This window comes from Homo sapiens, chromosome 13, assembly GCF_000001405.40.
Source record: "Homo sapiens chromosome 13, GRCh38.p14 Primary Assembly".
Lineage (NCBI taxonomy): Eukaryota > Metazoa > Chordata > Mammalia > Primates > Hominidae > Homo > Homo sapiens.
This window is the reverse complement of record NC_000013.11, coordinates 21390834-21408212: the sequence shown is the minus strand read 5'-3', so window position 1 is coordinate 21408212 and position 17379 is coordinate 21390834. Positions and strand designations below refer to the sequence as shown.

General features: G+C 39.2%; 1 protein-coding gene and 1 pseudogene across 18 annotated transcripts in view; one reads left to right on the top strand and one right to left on the bottom strand.

Moving 5' to 3' along the window:
* Positions 1 to 17379, top strand: part of ZDHHC20 (zDHHC palmitoyltransferase 20) — an 86733-nt gene that overhangs the window by 51091 nt on the left and 18263 nt on the right. For 14 of the 17 annotated variants that reach the window (NR_104487.2, XR_007063672.1, NM_001286638.2 and 11 more), the window contains 4 exons: positions 5347 to 5416; positions 6528 to 6560; positions 7720 to 7840; positions 16359 to 16491. Coding sequence is in view for 14 of the 17 variants with exons in the window: in NM_001286638.2 (NP_001273567.1) it covers positions 5347 to 5416; positions 6528 to 6560; positions 7720 to 7840; positions 16359 to 16491 (357 nt within the window). In the remaining 3 variants the exon portion in view is untranslated. Of the gene's footprint in view, positions 1 to 3870; positions 3989 to 5346; positions 5417 to 6527; positions 6561 to 7719; positions 7841 to 15038; positions 15255 to 16358; positions 16492 to 17379 lie in introns of those variants that run through there. The other 3 variants (NR_104486.2, XM_047430248.1, XM_011535030.4) reach the window with 3 other exon arrangements.
* MIPEPP3 (mitochondrial intermediate peptidase pseudogene 3) overlaps positions 15290 to 17379 on the bottom strand; it is a 94799-nt pseudogene continuing 92709 nt past the window's right edge. Inside the window, exons 4-5 of the transcript NR_046461.1 lie at positions 16396 to 16463; positions 15290 to 15391 (exon numbers count right to left, since the gene is read on the bottom strand). The product of NR_046461.1 is annotated as a mitochondrial intermediate peptidase pseudogene 3, transcript variant 2 (transcript). The remainder of the gene's footprint in view (positions 15392 to 16395; positions 16464 to 17379) is intronic.

Below are 17379 nucleotides of genomic sequence, written 5' to 3'. Positions count from 1 at the left end.
CTGCCCAAAGTAATTTATAGATTCAATGCTATTCCCATCAAGCTACCATTGACTTTCTTCACAGAATTAGAAAAAACTACTTTAAATTTCATGTGGAACCAAAAAAAGAGCCTGTATAGCCGAGACAATCCTAAGCAAAAAGAACAAAGATGGAGGCATCACATTACCTGACCTCAAACTATACTACAAGGCTACAGTAACCAAAACAGCATGGTATTGGTGCCAAAACCGATATATAGACCAATGGAACAAAACAGAGGCCTCAGAAATAACACCACACATCTACAACCATCTGATCTTTGACAAACCTGACAAAAACAAACAATGGGGAAAGGATTCCCTATTTAATAAATTGTGTTGGGAAAACTGGCTAGCCACATGCAGAAAACTGAAACTGGATCTCTTCCTTACACCTTATACAAAAATTAACTCAAGATGGATTAAAGATTTAAATATAAGACCTAAAACCATAAAAACCCTAGAAGAAAATCTAGGCAACACCATTCAGGATATATGCATGGGCAAAGACTTAATGACTAAAACACCAAAAGCAATTGCAACAAAAGCCAAAATTGACAATTGGCATCTAATTAAAGAGCTTCTGCACAGCAAAAGAAACTATCATCAGAGTGAACAGGCAACCTACAGAATGGGAGAAAATTTTTGCAATCTATCCATCTGACAAAGGGCTAATCTCCAGAATCTACAAGGAACTTATATTTCCAAGAAAAAAACAACCTCATCAAAATGTGGGCGAAGGGTATGAACAGACACTTTTCAAAAGAAGACATTTATGTGACCAACAAACATATTTTAAAAAGCTCATTATCACTGGTCATTAGAGAAATGCAAATCAAAACCACAATGAGATACCATCTCACACCAGTTAGAATGGCGATCATTAAAAAGTCAGGAAAGAAACTGGGTGTGGTGGCTCACACCTATAATCCCAGCACTTTGGGAGGCCGAGGCAGGTGGATCACAAGGTCAGGAGTTCGAGACCAGCCTGACCAACATGGTGAAACCCCATCTCTACTAAACAAAATACAAAAAAAAATTAGCTGGACCTGGTGGCGGGCACCTGTAATCCCAGCTACTCAAGAGGCTGAGGCAGGAGAATCACTTGAACCTGGGAGATGGAGGTTGCAGTGAGCTGAGATCACGCCACTGCACTCCAGCCTGGGTGACAAAGAAATAGAAACACTTTTACACTGTTTGTGGGAGTGTAAATTAGCTCAACGATTGTGGAAGACAGCGCGGCGATTCCTCAAGGATCTAGAACCAGAAATACCATTTGACCCAGCAATCCTATTACTGGGTATATACCCAAAGGATTATAAATCATTCTGTAAAGACACATGCACATGTATGTTTATTGCAGCACTGTTCACAATAGCGAAGACTTGGAACCAACCCAAATGCCCATCAGTGATAGACTGGATAAAGAAAATGTGGCATATATACACCATGGAATACTATGCAGCCATAAAAAAGAATGAGTTCATGTCCTTTGCAGGGACATGGATGAAGCTGGAAGCCATCATTTTCAGCAAACTAACACAGGAGCAGAAAACCAAACACTGCATGTTCTCACTTATAAGTGGGAGTTGAACAATGAGATCATATGGACACAGGGAGGGGAACATCACACACTGGGGCCTGTCGGGGGGTGGAGGGGAAGGGGAGGGATAGCATTAGGAGAAATACCTATTGTAGATGACAGATTGATAGGTGCAGCAAACCACCATGGCACATGTATACCTATGTAACAAACCTGTATGTTCTACACATCTATTTTATAACAAAGTATAATAATAAAAACATAGAAAAGCACAAATAACAGAAACCTGGTTGAAATGCTTAACTAGAGTCAATTAGATGTGCAGGAGTAAGTAGTATAAGAAGAATCAAGTCCAGGAGTGATCGGGAAATGAGTATTAAACAGTATTTGAAAAAGAGAAGATGTCCCAGGGCCCAAAAGTCAGAAGGGACCCACCAGCCAGGCAAGTTGCTTAGATGCTGTAAGTAGGTGTAGCCAAGGGAAGCCAGGAGTATTTGATATATGGCAGCAGGGGTTTATGGCTGCCAGGGGGAAATAACTGGTCAAGTGTTGGGCTTTCAGTTAAGATCTGATTTAATTTCCTTTCCCTCATTCTGCAGCAATCAGAATACACAATCTTAACCACTCAGTCCTTAGTGGTTTTGTTCCATTTTACGTTGGATGTTTTCACTGCCTCACAGAGTCCGTTTCAAATGTTTTGGCTGAAAGGGCTTTTTGCATTTGTATGTTCTGAGTTCAGATCCTGCTGGTGCACCCAAGCATTATGGAAGCAGGGACTTAACTTAGCCCTTCCAATTAAGTGATGAGGGATTCTGCTTTTAAAATTTGTAGCATTTATCTTTTTATATAAGGTTTTCATTTACAGTTGAATAGGTCTCCATATTTTTCCATCATTAGACAAATACTAAAATGGACTAAATAATTTTAAGCGATAGTGGAGGAGAGGGTGTACAGATTTCCTTCTTAGAGAGTGTCAAAGAATATGCTCCCAGTAGTGGAAAAGGAAGATTTTCAGTCTAGCAGCTAAGTACCTCCTACACATTGCTCATCAATCAGAAAACAGGTGCACTAAAAGCACCCTGAGAACTCATATGGTAATTTCAACACACCCAAAATCAAGGGCCCAGATGCCAGCAGCTGCAGCAAACAGGTTTTTCCTCCCTGTTGATCAAGACAGGTGAGTGAGACAGAACTTGGCTTTCTTATGTGATGTGGGATTATCTTGTGACTTGTGTCTTTTTCCCTAATGTGCTAGAGGGAAAAAAATAGCTGAGCTAGATTTCTAAAGCGGTAGCTCTCTATTTTTAAATGAATTTGAAAAGTCAATTAAATTATGTATTTTATTGCCTCTGTATCATATTAAATGAATATTTTATTTTAAAGGCTTAAATAAATGAAAATGATTTTTGTTAAAAATAACATTTAATAAGTAGATATTTGTGTAAATTCCCTTTGTTCTAGAGAAATTCTTATTTACATTATAGAAGTAATACATGTCCATTATTTAAAAAAAAAAATTTTTAGGGGCACCAAAAAAGATTGAGTCTACACATCTCACCCATGACACCACTCATCAGAGGCTACCACCTTTTCTTGTGTATCCTAGCAGAAATGTTTTATATATAACAGAGTATTGTAGAACTATATACAAGTGACAATCAAATAGCTAAATATTAACTAATGCAAATTTGGTTACCTGGATAGAGCTTTCTATGAGCTATAGCTTCTAACATTGCTTCAAAGTATACTCTGTTTCCCTGTTATATATATTAATTGACATCCGAAAGATGTATGCATTTTATTGGGATAGGGTATATAGTTATAAAAAGAAAATATATATTCTTTTCCCTTTGGAGATGGGAACTCTATTCTGCATGACTTGCTTTTTTTTTTTTTTTGAGATGGAATCTCGCTCTGTCACCCAGGTTGGAGTGCAGTGGCGCGATCTCAGCTCACTGCAAGCTCCGCCTCCTGCGTTCACGCCATTCTCCTGCCTCAGCCTCCCGAGTAGCTGGGACTACAAGCGCCCACCACCACGCCCAGCTAATTTTTTGTATTTTTTTAGTAGAGACGGGGTTTCACCATGTTAGCCAGGATGGTCTTAATCTCCTGACCTCGTGATCCACCCGCCTCAGCCTCCCAGACAGAGTGCTGGGATTACAGGTGTGAGCCACTGTGCCCAGCCCTGAATTCCTTTTTTTCCATGTAATGTCCTTGTATTTTTCCATATTAGGGTTGTCAAAAACCAAAATTTCAACAAATTGAGTTTGAAAGATCTAATTGCCTTTCATTAATGATTTATGAACTAGGCCTCATGCAGTCTACAAAATAGAAAGGAGCTCCAATGAGCTGGACAGGGGAAGTCGGCTTTAGAAAAGGCTGAAGAAAGTGGAAACAAAGAACAGAAAGAAGATTGGTTATTTCCAAGTGAGCCACCGCACCCAGTCATAAATGTATTCTGTATGGAAAATTTTTGTTAAACTCCGCATAGTGTTTCACTGGATATACCAGTAGATGGTTAACTATTTTTATAATTCAAGTTATTCCTAGTGTTTTAGTAAAAACAATGCTGTAATGAACATCACTCTTCTTTGCTAATCCTTGAACAAGCCAAGCATACTCACACCTCAGGGTCCATTCTCTGATTAGAATCCTCATTCTCCCCGCCAGCCACGGTGGCTCACGCCTGTAATCCCAGCACTTTGGGAGGCCGAGGTGGGTGACTCACCTGAGGTCAGGAGTTCGAGACCAGCCTGACCAATATGGTGAAACCCTGTCTCTACTAAAAATACAAAAATTACCTGGGCATGATGGCGCACACCTGTTGTCCCAGCTACTCGGGAGGCTGAGGCAGGAGAATTGCTTGAACCCAGGAGGCGGAGGTTGCAGTGAGCCGAGATCGTGCAACTGCACTCCAGCCTGGGCGACGGAGCGACACTCCGTCCCAGAAAAAACAAAAAAACAAACAAAAAAGCAACTTCTTTCTCCCTGAGGGACATGACTCACTAACTTGCTTCTTTCAATTTCATTTTTCTCACATCTTTCTAAAATTACAATTCCCCAATGTTTCCTTCCCTGCTATCTATATTATCACTGTCTAATACATTATTTATTTTGTTAACTTGTTTATTATTACTCCCCATTGCTTCCTGTAAAATGAAAGGTCTGTGAAGGCATGAACAATATCTGGCACCTAGCAGGTGTTCCATACATTTTAAATGAACATATGTATTAGGCAACAATAGTATATATTAGGATTTAGTGGAAAACAATTCAGAGTTTTTATTCAAAAATGCATTCCCAGTTTTATTGTTTATCTGGGGTAGGGATGGCAGATAAAAAGTGTTTTTTTTTTTTAATAAAACTATTTCAGAATTTCAAAAACAATCCCACAGGATGCCTTAAAAGTCTAAATTTTGATATTACTGTAGGCATTGTGGTATAATAGAAAAAAACACTGGACCTGGGACTTACTAAATCTTGAGTTCTGGTCTAGTTCTGCTACTCACCCTGGTGTTTGACCTTGTATGAGTCATTTATTTGCTTTGCATCTACTTTTCATCTAAAAATTGCTGAGCAAACTACATTCTGATGTTCTCTTTTATCTCTTGACATTTTGATTTGAGAAGCTCTCTAGTATAATACATTTTGGTATTGTTGGTATTGTTTTAAAATTATTAGTTATCAATTACCCAGAGTTATTTTTTTTAGAAAATCAAGTTTTAATGTCAAATTAGTTAAGTTTGTACATCCTTCAGCATCTTCCTTTTACTTCTTTCATGTAGCTATCAGATATTGTGAAAAATGTCAGCTGATTAAACCTGATCGGGCGCATCACTGCTCAGCCTGTGACTCGTAAGTGTTACTCACACATATGCTTAATATCTAGCACTGGAAATCAGTGATGGGAAAGTGCAAGGGGAAGGAACATTTTATATGCTTTACACTTGACAAGAACACTTCATCCTCTCCCATTATTTGCTGTGCATACAGGGCAGACAAAAATATTGATAAAAGCTGGAATATACTCACAAGTTGTATCTTTGATAACAGTTCCTATACCAGTTAATAGAATTTTCTTGGACTTTATGCTGTCTATGCTTGTGCTTAATGTAAGTCTTTGTGTACATGTAAGGAGATAATATGTTGAAGGAAAGATCGTTAGTTTGGAATCCCAGATAATCCTTGACTTTTAGTAACACAGTTACTTAACTTTCTAAGTATTAGATTACTCATTTTGTTATTTTTTTTAGATGATCTGTGGTCTACCTTCATATAAGTATAGAATACATATTCTAGTAGGGAGGCAAATTTGGAGTTTGGTGGGTTTTTTTTATTACAAAAATACAGTAGTGCTTATGCATAGGGTAAAATTTTATAGAATATGTGGAAAAATAACCATCTCCAAGCCCATCAGTGTTAATATTTTGACTTATTTCCTCCTAAACTTTTGTTTTTATGACCTGCATATGTTTAAAATAACATAGGGGCCATCTGTATTGCATTTTATCTCCTTCAGCTAATTTGTTAGCTGGATCTAATGTACCAAGTACTGTGTACCAGATCTGAATTTTGTTTTTTTCAGGACAGGGTCTCACTATGTCAGCCAGGCTGGTCTCGAACTCATGACCTCAAATGATCCTATCGCCTCCACCTCCCAAAGTGCTGGAATTAATTACACGCATGAGCCACTGTGCCCAGCCCAGATCTAAATATTACAGTATTATTTGATGTGGTCTAAGGCAGCTGAATATGTTCAGCTGAATTCCCAGTATAAAAATCATGACTTTTTACCTATGAACATTCTTGTGGAAGCATCAGAAATTATCTCTAACCTAGTTTCTGGGTTGATTCTCTTAAGATGTAGTTGTAAAGGGAATTTTAAGTCAAATAAAAGAAAATTATGAGAAGTTAGAATTAGAAGAATTTTTCTGCATGGATTTTCTTATGCTTGTTTGTTTCCTAGATGTATTCTTAAGATGGATCATCACTGTCCTTGGTATGTATAAAAAAACAGAAGAAATTGCATTGGTGGTGAGAGAGAGAATTTAGAGTAACTTCAGTATTCCTAAATTTTGAAGGCCAGTTTACTCATAGATATTAAGATTGATCTCTTTACATATATGCATAGATTTGTATGTAAACAGTTATATTAAATGGTTTCTATTAAAATATCTGCTGAAATTAACCCAAATAACAATGTATTAAGAATTAACATTAAAATTCCACATTCCTTATGGAATTTATTAAATACAAACATTCACAATTAAGACACCACTCAACTTCCCAGATGACCCATTTCTAGGTAATAATGATTAAGTTTTCTAGTTTTCTGATTTGTCTTTCTTTGTGTTTGTTTTGTTTTATTTTATTTTTGAAACAGGGTCTCTGGTTGCCCAGGCTGTAGTACAGTGGCATGATCTTGTCTCACTGCAGCCTTGACCTTCTGGGCTCAGGTGATTCTTCCACCTCAGTCTCTCAAGTAGCTGGGACTGCAGGCATGCACCACCACGCCTGGCTGATTTTTTGTATTTTTAATAGAGATGGGGTCTCTCCATGTTGCCCATGCTGGTCTTGCACTCCTGGGCTTAAGCAGTCCACCCGCCTTGGCCTCCCAAAGTACTAGGATTACAGGCATGAGCCACTGCACTCGGCCCAATTTATTTTTTTTAATTATTATGTTTTAATTGTTTTAAAAAACATCGAAGAGGTCAGGAGTTCAAGACCAGCCTGGGCAACATGGTGAAACCCCATCTCTACTAAAAATACAAAAATTAGCCGGCTGTTGTGTTGGGCGCCTGTAATCCCAGCTACTTGGGAGTCTGAGGCAGGAGAATCACGTGAACCTGGGAGGCAGAGGTTGCAGTGAGCCGAGATTGTGCCACTGCACTCCAGCCTGGGCAACAGAATGAGACTCCCATAAGATGTACCATGTTAACCATTTCTTAGGGTACAGTTCAGTAGTGTTAAGTATGTTCAAATTGTTGTGCAATTAATCTCCAGAACTTTTTCATCCTGCAAAACTGAAATTTTATTCGCATTAAAAAGCTCCCCTTCCCCACACCACACCAGCCCCTGGCAGCCTCCATCCTACTTTCTATTTCTGTGAATTTGTGATTTGTCTTACTTTTATAATGTGGCTTTCTTTATTTTTCCAGGGTGAATAACTGTGTGGGATTTTCTAATTACAAATTCTTCCTGCTGTTTTTATTGTATTCCCTATTATATTGCCTTTTCGTGGCTGCAACAGTTTTAGAGTACTTTATAAAATTTTGGACGGTAAGTCTTTTTTTCTATCTTGAAACATGTATTTAAGACTTTAAGATGCTATCTTCCTAATAAATTACTTTATTTTTTATGACAAGTAGATATACTTTAATTTTACAAGTTAGAGTTTTATAAATCCATCAGAGGACAGATAGGGCTACAATTTACTTTCATATACACATGTTTATTTGTAAATAAATGTGTATTAAACAGGATATAGTGAGCCTCTTTTAGTGATCCAAATTATTTTCACCCACATTCTAACAAAGACATATTCATTTTAGGGAGGTAAATTGCTTTTCTTTGAGTTGGTGAGACTTACTGCAATTTTATAGTAATAAAATCTATAAAGACAGGAAGCAGTTTAGTGGTTGCCTCAGCCCCAGGCAGCCACTAAACTGCTTCCTGTCTTTATAGATTTTACAGCATTTCTTAAAATGGCAAATGAATGAAAACAATCAAATGTCTTATCAACTGAGGTCCCCTGAAACTATGACACATCTATACAAAGGAATGCAATGCAGCTTAAGAAAGAATAAGGAAGCTCTTTATAACAAATGATGTGAAGTGATCTTTGAGATCTTTTATTAACGTGAAAAAAACAAGGTACGGAAGAATGCATATAGTATGCTGCCGTTTCTACAGCAAAATAACATGTATATATATTTGTATATGTTTTATCTGGAAGAATGCAGTAAAAAATTCTTAACTGGTTGCCTCTGGGGAGGGCACTTAGAAGGGAGACATGCTTTCTACAGTTATCCTTTGGATTTTGTATAACATGGACAAATAGTAATATATTCAAAACAGATAAATATAGCTTTAAAATTTTTTTTAGTATGGAAGTATATATTTTTTGAGGAAAAACTACCAAAAACATTGAAAGTAACTGCCTCTTGGAAGTGGGAGAACTGCTGTTTTTCATTAATAGCTTTTTAGCATTATTTTAATTTTCTCTGTGCATGTGCCATTTTTTAAAAATTTAGAAATTATTTTATATTTTATTTTATTTTTATTTTTATTTGATTTTATTTTTATTTGAGACGGAATCTTGCTTGGTCACCCAGGCTGGAGTGCAGTGGCGCGATCTCATCTTACTATAACCTCTGCCTTCTGGGTTCAAGCGATTCTCCTGCCTCAGCCTCCCTGAATAGCTGGGATTATGGGTGCTCCACCACAATGCCTGGGTAATTTTTGTATTTTTAGTAGAGACAGGGTTTCACCATGCTGGCGAGGCTGGTCTCGAGCTCCTGACTTCAAGTGATTTGCCCGCCTTGGCCTCCCAAAGTGCTGGGATTACAAGTGTGAGCCACTGCACCTGGCCAAGAAATAATTTCAAAATAAATGAACATTTTCTCCTTCATTTAAACTCTCTTTAAATTTCAAGATAATATTAATTCCTTTCTCTTTCCCCTTCAGCCCTTTAAATATAGGTTCAGTCCTGGGCTGTCTCACTGTTGGTTCTTTCTACTGTGTTTCTGGGTTGTTGCGTGTCCCCCTGTGGCATTCACAATTGCTGTTCCTAGCCCTAGCGCTCACATGGGCTGAGCCCATTCCCCTGTTTCCAGTTGCTATTTATTGAACCAGTAGACATGAGGAAGACACCATAAAAATCAGCACGTCTCAAACCAACCTCATTTTCATTTCACTGTTCTTTCTATGTTTATCTGATTGATTGGGAACAACATCTTTACAAATCTTATCAGTTTCCAAGCTAGAAAAATTAATAGCATCTTGGAACTATTGTTATTCCTGTATGAAACTGAGGTATAGAATCAGGGTGGTATACTAGGGGAAAAAAATGAGCTTTCTTTACATGTAAATGCCATGTATGTATTTATTTGCCAGAATCTAAGCTCCATGAGAGCATGAATATTTGTTTATTTTGTTTGTTTATGTTTCTTTCCTTTTTTTTTTTTTTGAGACGGAGTCTCGCTCTGTTGCCCAGGCTGGAGTGCAGTGGCGCGATCTTGGCTCACTGCCAGCTCCGCCTCCCGGGTTCATGCCATTCTGCTGCCTCAGCCTCCCGAGTAGCTGGGACTACAGGCACCCGGCACCTCGCCCGGCTAATTTTTTGTATTTTTAGTAGAGACGGGGTTTCACCGTGTTAGCCAGGATGGTCTCGATCTCCTGACCTCGTGATCTGCCCGCCTCGACCTCCCAAAGTGCTGGGATTACAGGTGTGAGCCACCGCGCCCAACCTGTTTGTTTATGTTTCTTAGTCGCCCAGTACTGAACACACAGTAGGTGTTCAGTAAATATTTGCTGAGTGAATAGCCAGAATCAAGATACTTAAACTTTAGACTCTTTGTTCTTTCATTTTTAAAACTGAGGTAATAACTTATAGGATTGATGTAATGATTAAAATAAATAGTGTAAATACATGGAAAGCAGTCAGTAGATGTTTTTTATTTTGTTTTTTCCAACTCTGTGCCTCAAATCATTCCTATTCCTAATATCACAGACATGGTTTAGACCCTCCATCTCCTAATTTCCTGTCTTTATTCTCTCCTTTCTTAAGTACAATCCCTGCCAATTTATGAGCAGAGGAAAATTTTTTTTGCATATGCTTATGAGGATATGCTTGCTAGCTACTGGCATGTCTTTTTTGTGAAATTTCTATTGTGTTCTTTGCCCATTTCTAGTAGGTTTTCATATTTACACATGAAAAGAGTTTGTCTTATATTAAAGATACTAATCTTTTTTGTTGTTGTTTTGTTTTTTGAGATAGGGTCCCACTCTGTCTCCCAGGCTGGAGTGCAGTGGTGCGATCACGGCTCACTGCAGTTTCAATCTCCCAGGCTCAAGCAATCCCCTGCCTCAAGCCCCCAAGTAGCTGGGACCATGGGCAGGCACCACCATGCCCGGCTAATTTTTGTATTGTTTGTAGAGACAGGGTTTCACCATGTTGCCCAGGCTGGTCTATAAGTCCTGATCTCAAACAGTCCTCCCACCTCGGCCTCCCAAAGTGCTGGGATTACAGGTGCGAGCCACCGAGCCCAGCCACTAATCGTTATTCTTGACCTTGAGTTAGATGAGGATTTCTTTTTTTTTTTTTGAGATGCAGTTTAGCTCTTGTCACCCAGGCTAGAGTGTGATGGCACAATCTCGGCTCACTGCAACCTCCACTTCCTGGGTTCAAGTGATTCTCTAGCAGAGACGGGGTTTTACCATGTTGGCCAGGCCAGTCTTGAACTCCTGACCTCAGGTGATCCGCCCGCCTCGGTCTCCCAAAATGCTGGCATTACAGGCATGAGCCACTGCGGCCAGCCCAAATGAGGATTTCTTACATTGAACATAGCAATCACCATAAAAGAAAAGATCAATAAATTGGACTTCATTAAAATAAAGAACTTTTTATAAAAAGGTGACTTTTGGAGTGAAAAAGCAAGCTACTGACTGGGAGAAGATATTTACAACGCATATATCTCACAAAGGACTCCTAACCAGAATATGTGAGACACTTCTAAAGATATTAATCCTTTTTCTGTCATGGGTTGCAAATGCTTTTTCCACATTTTCTGAGTTTTCTTTCTTTCTTTTTTTTTTTTTGAGACAGAGTCTCACTCTGTCATGCAGGCTGGAGTGCAGTGGCACAATCTCAGCTCACTGTAACCTTCACCTCCTGGATTCAAGTGATTTTCCTGCCTTCGCCTCCTGAGTAGCTGGGACTACAGGCATGCACCACCACGCCTGGTTAATTTTTGTATTTTTAGTAGAGACAGGGTTTCGCCATGTTGGCCAGACTGATCTTGAACTCCTGACCTTAGGTGATCCACCCACCTCGGCCTCCTGAAATACTGGGATAATAGGTGTGAGCCACCATGCCTGACCCACATTTTCTGTTTATGTCTTACATTTCTGCTTTCTTTTGTTTTTGTCACATCAAAGTTTTATATTTTTAAAGCAGTTCTTTTTATATATGATACCTGTCTGTTGTCTATTCCATATAAATTTATACAGATATTGTCCTATTTTTTTCCTCTGGCACTTTTGTTATTTTTGGTTTTACCTTTAAATCTCTGATTTTGGAGGAGGGATTATTGTAGTTAAAAAGTACTTTTACATCTACTCTTTCTAAAAACCTTTTGAAGGTGTTTTACAATGTAGGTTTTGTTATTATTCAGGTATGGTGAGGCCAATAGATCAGGAGACAATTGCCACTGAAAAGATAGTTTGTTACTCACAGCGCCAAGAGGAAGGGGCCCCAGGATAGGAAGCACCACGTGGGAACCAGAGCCTTTATTGTGGTTCCTGTGGGGAAGGCAGGGTAAGCAGATTTTGGATTGGCTGGCTGCAGGAATTGCAGAGGACTCAGGTATCGGGGCTATCTCTAGTTGTCTTGTACCTGGTCCTGGGATGATGAAGGCAGAGGACTGCTGCCTTCTGGAGTGTAAAAGGCAGATAGAAGAGGTGGTTCTCAGTGTGGGATCTGGATTGTTTAGTTTATGTATGAAAGATGTGCTCCTGGGTGAGTGGTTTGCTGTCTCTTAAGAACTGGCTAGCCTGGGGAGGGGCAGTTTCTCCCCAGTTAGTGAGGCCCCAGATGCCAGAGCCTCAGAAATATAGAAAATAAGAAAATAGGGTTGGGGCGCGGTGGCTTATGCCTGTAATCCCAGCACTTTGGGAGGCTGAGGCGAGCGGATCACGAGGTCAGGAGATCGAGACCATTCTGGCCAACAATGGTGAAACCCCATCTCTACTAAAAATACAAAATTAGCTGGGTGTGGTGGCACGCACCTGTAGTCCCAGCTACTTGGGAGGCTGAGGCAGGAGAATCGCTTGAACCCGGGAGGCGGAGGTTCCAGTGAGCCAAGATCACGGATCACGCCACTGCACTCCAGCCTGGCGACAGAGCAAGACTCTGTCTCAAAAAAAAAAAAAAAAAGAAAAGAAAAGAAGAAAATATGGTTTATATAGAAGGGGGCCATTATTATTTCAGTTTTCAGAGTTGGAAACAAATTGGAGAAATTATGCAACTACCGAAGGTCACATACTTAATAACATAGGAAGAATTTAGGCCGGGCGCGGTGGCTTACACCTGTAATCCCAGCACTTTGGGAGGCCGAGGCAGGTGGATCACGAGGTCAGGAGATCAAGACCATCCTGACTAACATGGTGAAACCCCGTATCTACTAAAAATACAAAGAATTAGCTGGGCCTGGTAGCTGGCGCCTGTAGTCCCAGCTACTCTGGAGGCTGAGGCAGGAGAATAGCATGAACCTGGGAGACGGAGCTTGCAGTGAGCTGAGATTGCACCACTGCACTCCAGCCTGGGCTACAGATCGAGACTCTATCTCAAAAAAAAAAAAAAAGAAAGAATTTAAACTAAAATCTGGCTATTCCAGCATCCAGCTACTTTCCACTATAACTTGCTACTCATAGTTAGGAAGAATATAATTATAATTAAAGAATATAATTAAAGTAGGAGATACCTACTACATTTTAGAAGGATTTAAACATCATTAGATGTTTAAAGTTTGGGTATGTAAAACCAGGGGATCCTAACACTTACAATGCCTTTGCACATATTAGAAGAGAACACCCCTACCTGTGTGGTGTCAGCCTCATGAATTTTGGCTTTTGATTTCCCCCTTAGCTGGGCACCTTTGTTCAGTTCACAACATACTAACCATACCCCTTATTTAAACAGATTTAGTGCCAGATAGATGAAATCTAAATTACCTAATTTCACATTTCTCTATCAGAAAATTCAGCAATGTTTGTGTGCAATGATTTATTAAAGAATGAATAACTTTTTTGGATTAATTCTGAGTAAAAAAAGACTTGTAAACGTAAATATACCTTTTTCTTCATTCAATAAATATGTATTTAGTACTTACTGTATGGCAGGTAGTACTCTAGAGACTTGTAGTATATCTCTGAAAAAACGGGCAGAGTTCTCTCTTTGTAGAGCTTGCTTTTGAGAAGGAGGGGGACAAGTAATAAATAATGAGCAGGGTAAGAGATTTAAGTATTGGGCGGTGGCATGATAGGGCAGGTGGCAATATTGAATAGCACAGTCAGGGTAGACCTTATTTAGAAGGTAGGATTTAAGCAAAAACTTGAAGGGAATTAATGGATATCTGAGAGAAGAGCATTCAGGCCCAGAGAACATGATACGTGTCCCTGCCATGTTTCAGTAACACAAGAAGGCTACTGTGGCTGGGGTAGAATGAGCAGAAAGGAGACTGAAAGGAATGGACCAAGAGGGGGCCAAAATGACAGAGGGCCTTGGAGAGTATTGAAATGACTGTGGCTTTTACTAGCAGCCAGGTTGGGACATGATCTGATTTGTGCAAGGCTCACTCTGATTGCTGAGCTGAGAATAGATGGGAGAGGGCAAGTGCCAATACACAGGCTGACATGGTAGGCTGTTGCAGCATCCCGGCTGGAATAAGGTAGAAGCAGTGAAGGTGGTTAGAAGTCATCAGATCTAGTTTTTGGAAACTAGTCAGAGGTTTGTTTGTTTGTTTTCAATATTGGCTAAAAACATTTTATTTTATTCTTCCCCAGACTGAAATGTGTCTGCAGGCCCAGCGCAGGTGGCTCACGCCTGTAGTCCAGCACTTTGGGAGGCCAAGGCGGGAGGATCACTTAAGACCAGGAGTTAAAGACTAGCCCTAGCTCTGGTGCCTTAGTGAGACCTTGTACCTTTTTTTTTTTTTTTTTTTTTTTTTTTTTTGTGAGACTTGCTGTGTCGCCCAGGCTGGAGTGCAGCAGTGCGATCTCGGCTCACTGCAACCTCCACCTTCTGGGTTAAGTGATTCTCCTGCCTCAGCCTCCCAAGTAGCTGGGATTACAGGCGTGTACCACCATGCCTGGCTAATTTTTGCATTTTTAGTAGAGACGGGGTTTCACCATGTTGGCCAGGCTGGTCTCGAACTCTTGACCTCAGGTGATCTGCCTGCCTCTGGAGTGCAGCAGTGCGATCTTGGCTCACTGCAACCTCCACCTTCTGGGTTAAGTGATTCTCCTGCCTCAGCCTCCCAAGTAGCTGGGATTACAGGCGTGTACCACCATGCCCGGCTAATTTTTGCATTTTTAGTAGAGACAGGGTTTCACCATGTTGGCCAGGCTGGTCTCAAACTCAACCTCAAGTGATCCGCCTGTCTCCGCCTCCCAAAGTACTGGGATTACAGGTGTGAGCCACCGTGCCCAGCCAAGACCTTGTATCTTTAAAAAAAAAAAAAAAGAAAAAAGAAAAGAAATGTGCTTGAACAGCTACATGTTCTTGTCTATTTTTTCTTTTGTATTTCTTGAGAAAATGTTATAGATGGCCATTAGAAAGCAACATCTTAGTGTTCTTTCAACAGGATTTATAAAACTAGTGTTTAGGATAATTTTGCATAAAAATTGGTTTCTTAATATATGTCTCTATTTGCACAAGCTTTGCCGCAGGAAGTCTACAGAGAGTTGTCCAAAGGTAAAATACATCATTACCATGACATTCTCATGATCTTTGTGACATTTATAGTGAATATGTTTAATAAAAATTTGCTTCACAAAATGGTCAGAAGACTCACTTGATATGTTTGAAACATTTGAAACATGTTGGTTACTCTGGAAGAAAAGAGAAAAAGATCAATGTCACAATAACCTAATGCTAATAGTCTTCTTTTAGTCTGTAATACTTTTTAAATCAAGCAGAACAGCCTCGTGTTCTGGTGGAGTAGATGCTTTGCCTATATGGTTTATTTTAAGAGCTAACATTTAAAGGCTGCCTCCTTCTATTAAAGGTACTAATTTCTTCTAGGCTCTAGTTTGCTTCTGTTAAAATGTATATAGCCATAAGAAGGGATACCAGAGAAGCTGTTTTCATTCATTAATACCTGTGGTAAATTTATTTATCAAAATTGCTAACTATGCACAAAGGCTCTGTAGACATACAGATGAAAAAAGTAGGAATTGAAGCAGCTGAAGGCATGGGTAAGGTGGTCTGAAAATAGAGATTAAAGAAGTCCAAAAATATTTCACAATTAGTTTTTAGTTAGCAGCAAATCTAAATAAAATAAGCAAATATTTTTGTATAGATATGGGGAGCTTATATATGTCGGATGTTGGAGAAAGCTTGAATATATACATAAAGTACAAAAGAAAATTTGTTGGGTAGAAGAGTCGATCTTTTCACTTTATTACTGGAAGTATTGCTATTGTTTTTTTTTTTTTTTTATGAGACAGGGTCTCACTGTGTTGCCCAGGATGGCCTAGAACTCCTAGGCTCAGTGACCCTCTTGTCTCAGTCTCCCCAATAGCTGGGATTACAGGTATGCACCACCATGCCAAGCTAAAATTAAAAAAAATTTAAGAGCAGTATTTTAAATAACTCTTCCTGAACTCCTAGATAAGCAGGTTGCTTTGGTAATACCAATTCTTTGCTTTTGCCCTTGTTGCATTGGGATATATTAAGTAATTTATTAGTTTTCAAATATGGCAAGTATTTTGATATATTCAACAATCTTTAGACAGAACTAACTTGTAAGTTATATTTTAGAGGTTGACCTCAAAATTAACTTCTTTTTTTCCTCAGAATGAACTGACAGATACACGTGCAAAATTCCACGTACTTTTTCTTTTCTTTGTGTCTGCAATGTTCTTCATCAGCGTCCTCTCACTTTTCAGCTACCACTGCTGGCTAGTTGGAAAAAATAGAACAACAATAGGTAAGTAGGTTAAAATAAATTATAATTACTTAGGACAATGACCATAAATAAATATGAAATCTAGAGAAGAACAAGGGTCAGATGATACAGAAGTGTAAGACAATTCTGACTCTGGAATTGGTGGCACGTGCCTAATAATCCCAGCTACTGCAGAGACAGAGGCGGGAGAATCCCCTGAGCCCTGGAGGACACCCTAGACAACATAGGGAGACCCAGTCTCTAAAAAATAAAAATAATAAAATAATTCTGTAGTAAAATTAATTGTGACTGGATGGGAACAATGGTTTTATAATAAAGGTTCATTATTTTGGAGAAGGTTGAGGAAATGAGATTGACTTTTTAACACATTTTCAGTAATGTGTTATATATAAAAGTGGAGAACTATTTTATAAATTTTAATAAATGAAAACTTTCCTGCATTCATACAGTGTCGTTTCAAAAATTAATCTATAAGAGGCAGGGCACAGTGGCTCACACCTGTAATCCCAGCACTTTGGGAGGCCAAGATGGATGGATTACTTGAGTGCAGGAGTTCGAGACCAGCCTGGGCAACATGGAGAAACCCTGTCTTTACTAAAAATACAAAACAAAACTAGCTGCAGTGAGCCAAAATTGCACCATTGCACTCCAGCCTGGGCAATGAGAGTAAGACCCTATCTCAAAAAAAAAAAAATTAATCTATAAGGGATAGACAGTAGATTTACATGCTTTAAGGAAGTTTGTTCTCAAATAAGAAAACCTTTATATCCTCAATTACAGCTTATCTTTTAGCTAAAACATAACAATGTATTTCATGTATATTCTTTTTTTTTTTTCTTTTTTTTGAGACAGAGTCTCACTCTTGCTCTGGCTAGAGTGCAGTAGTACCATCACAGCTCACTGCAGCCT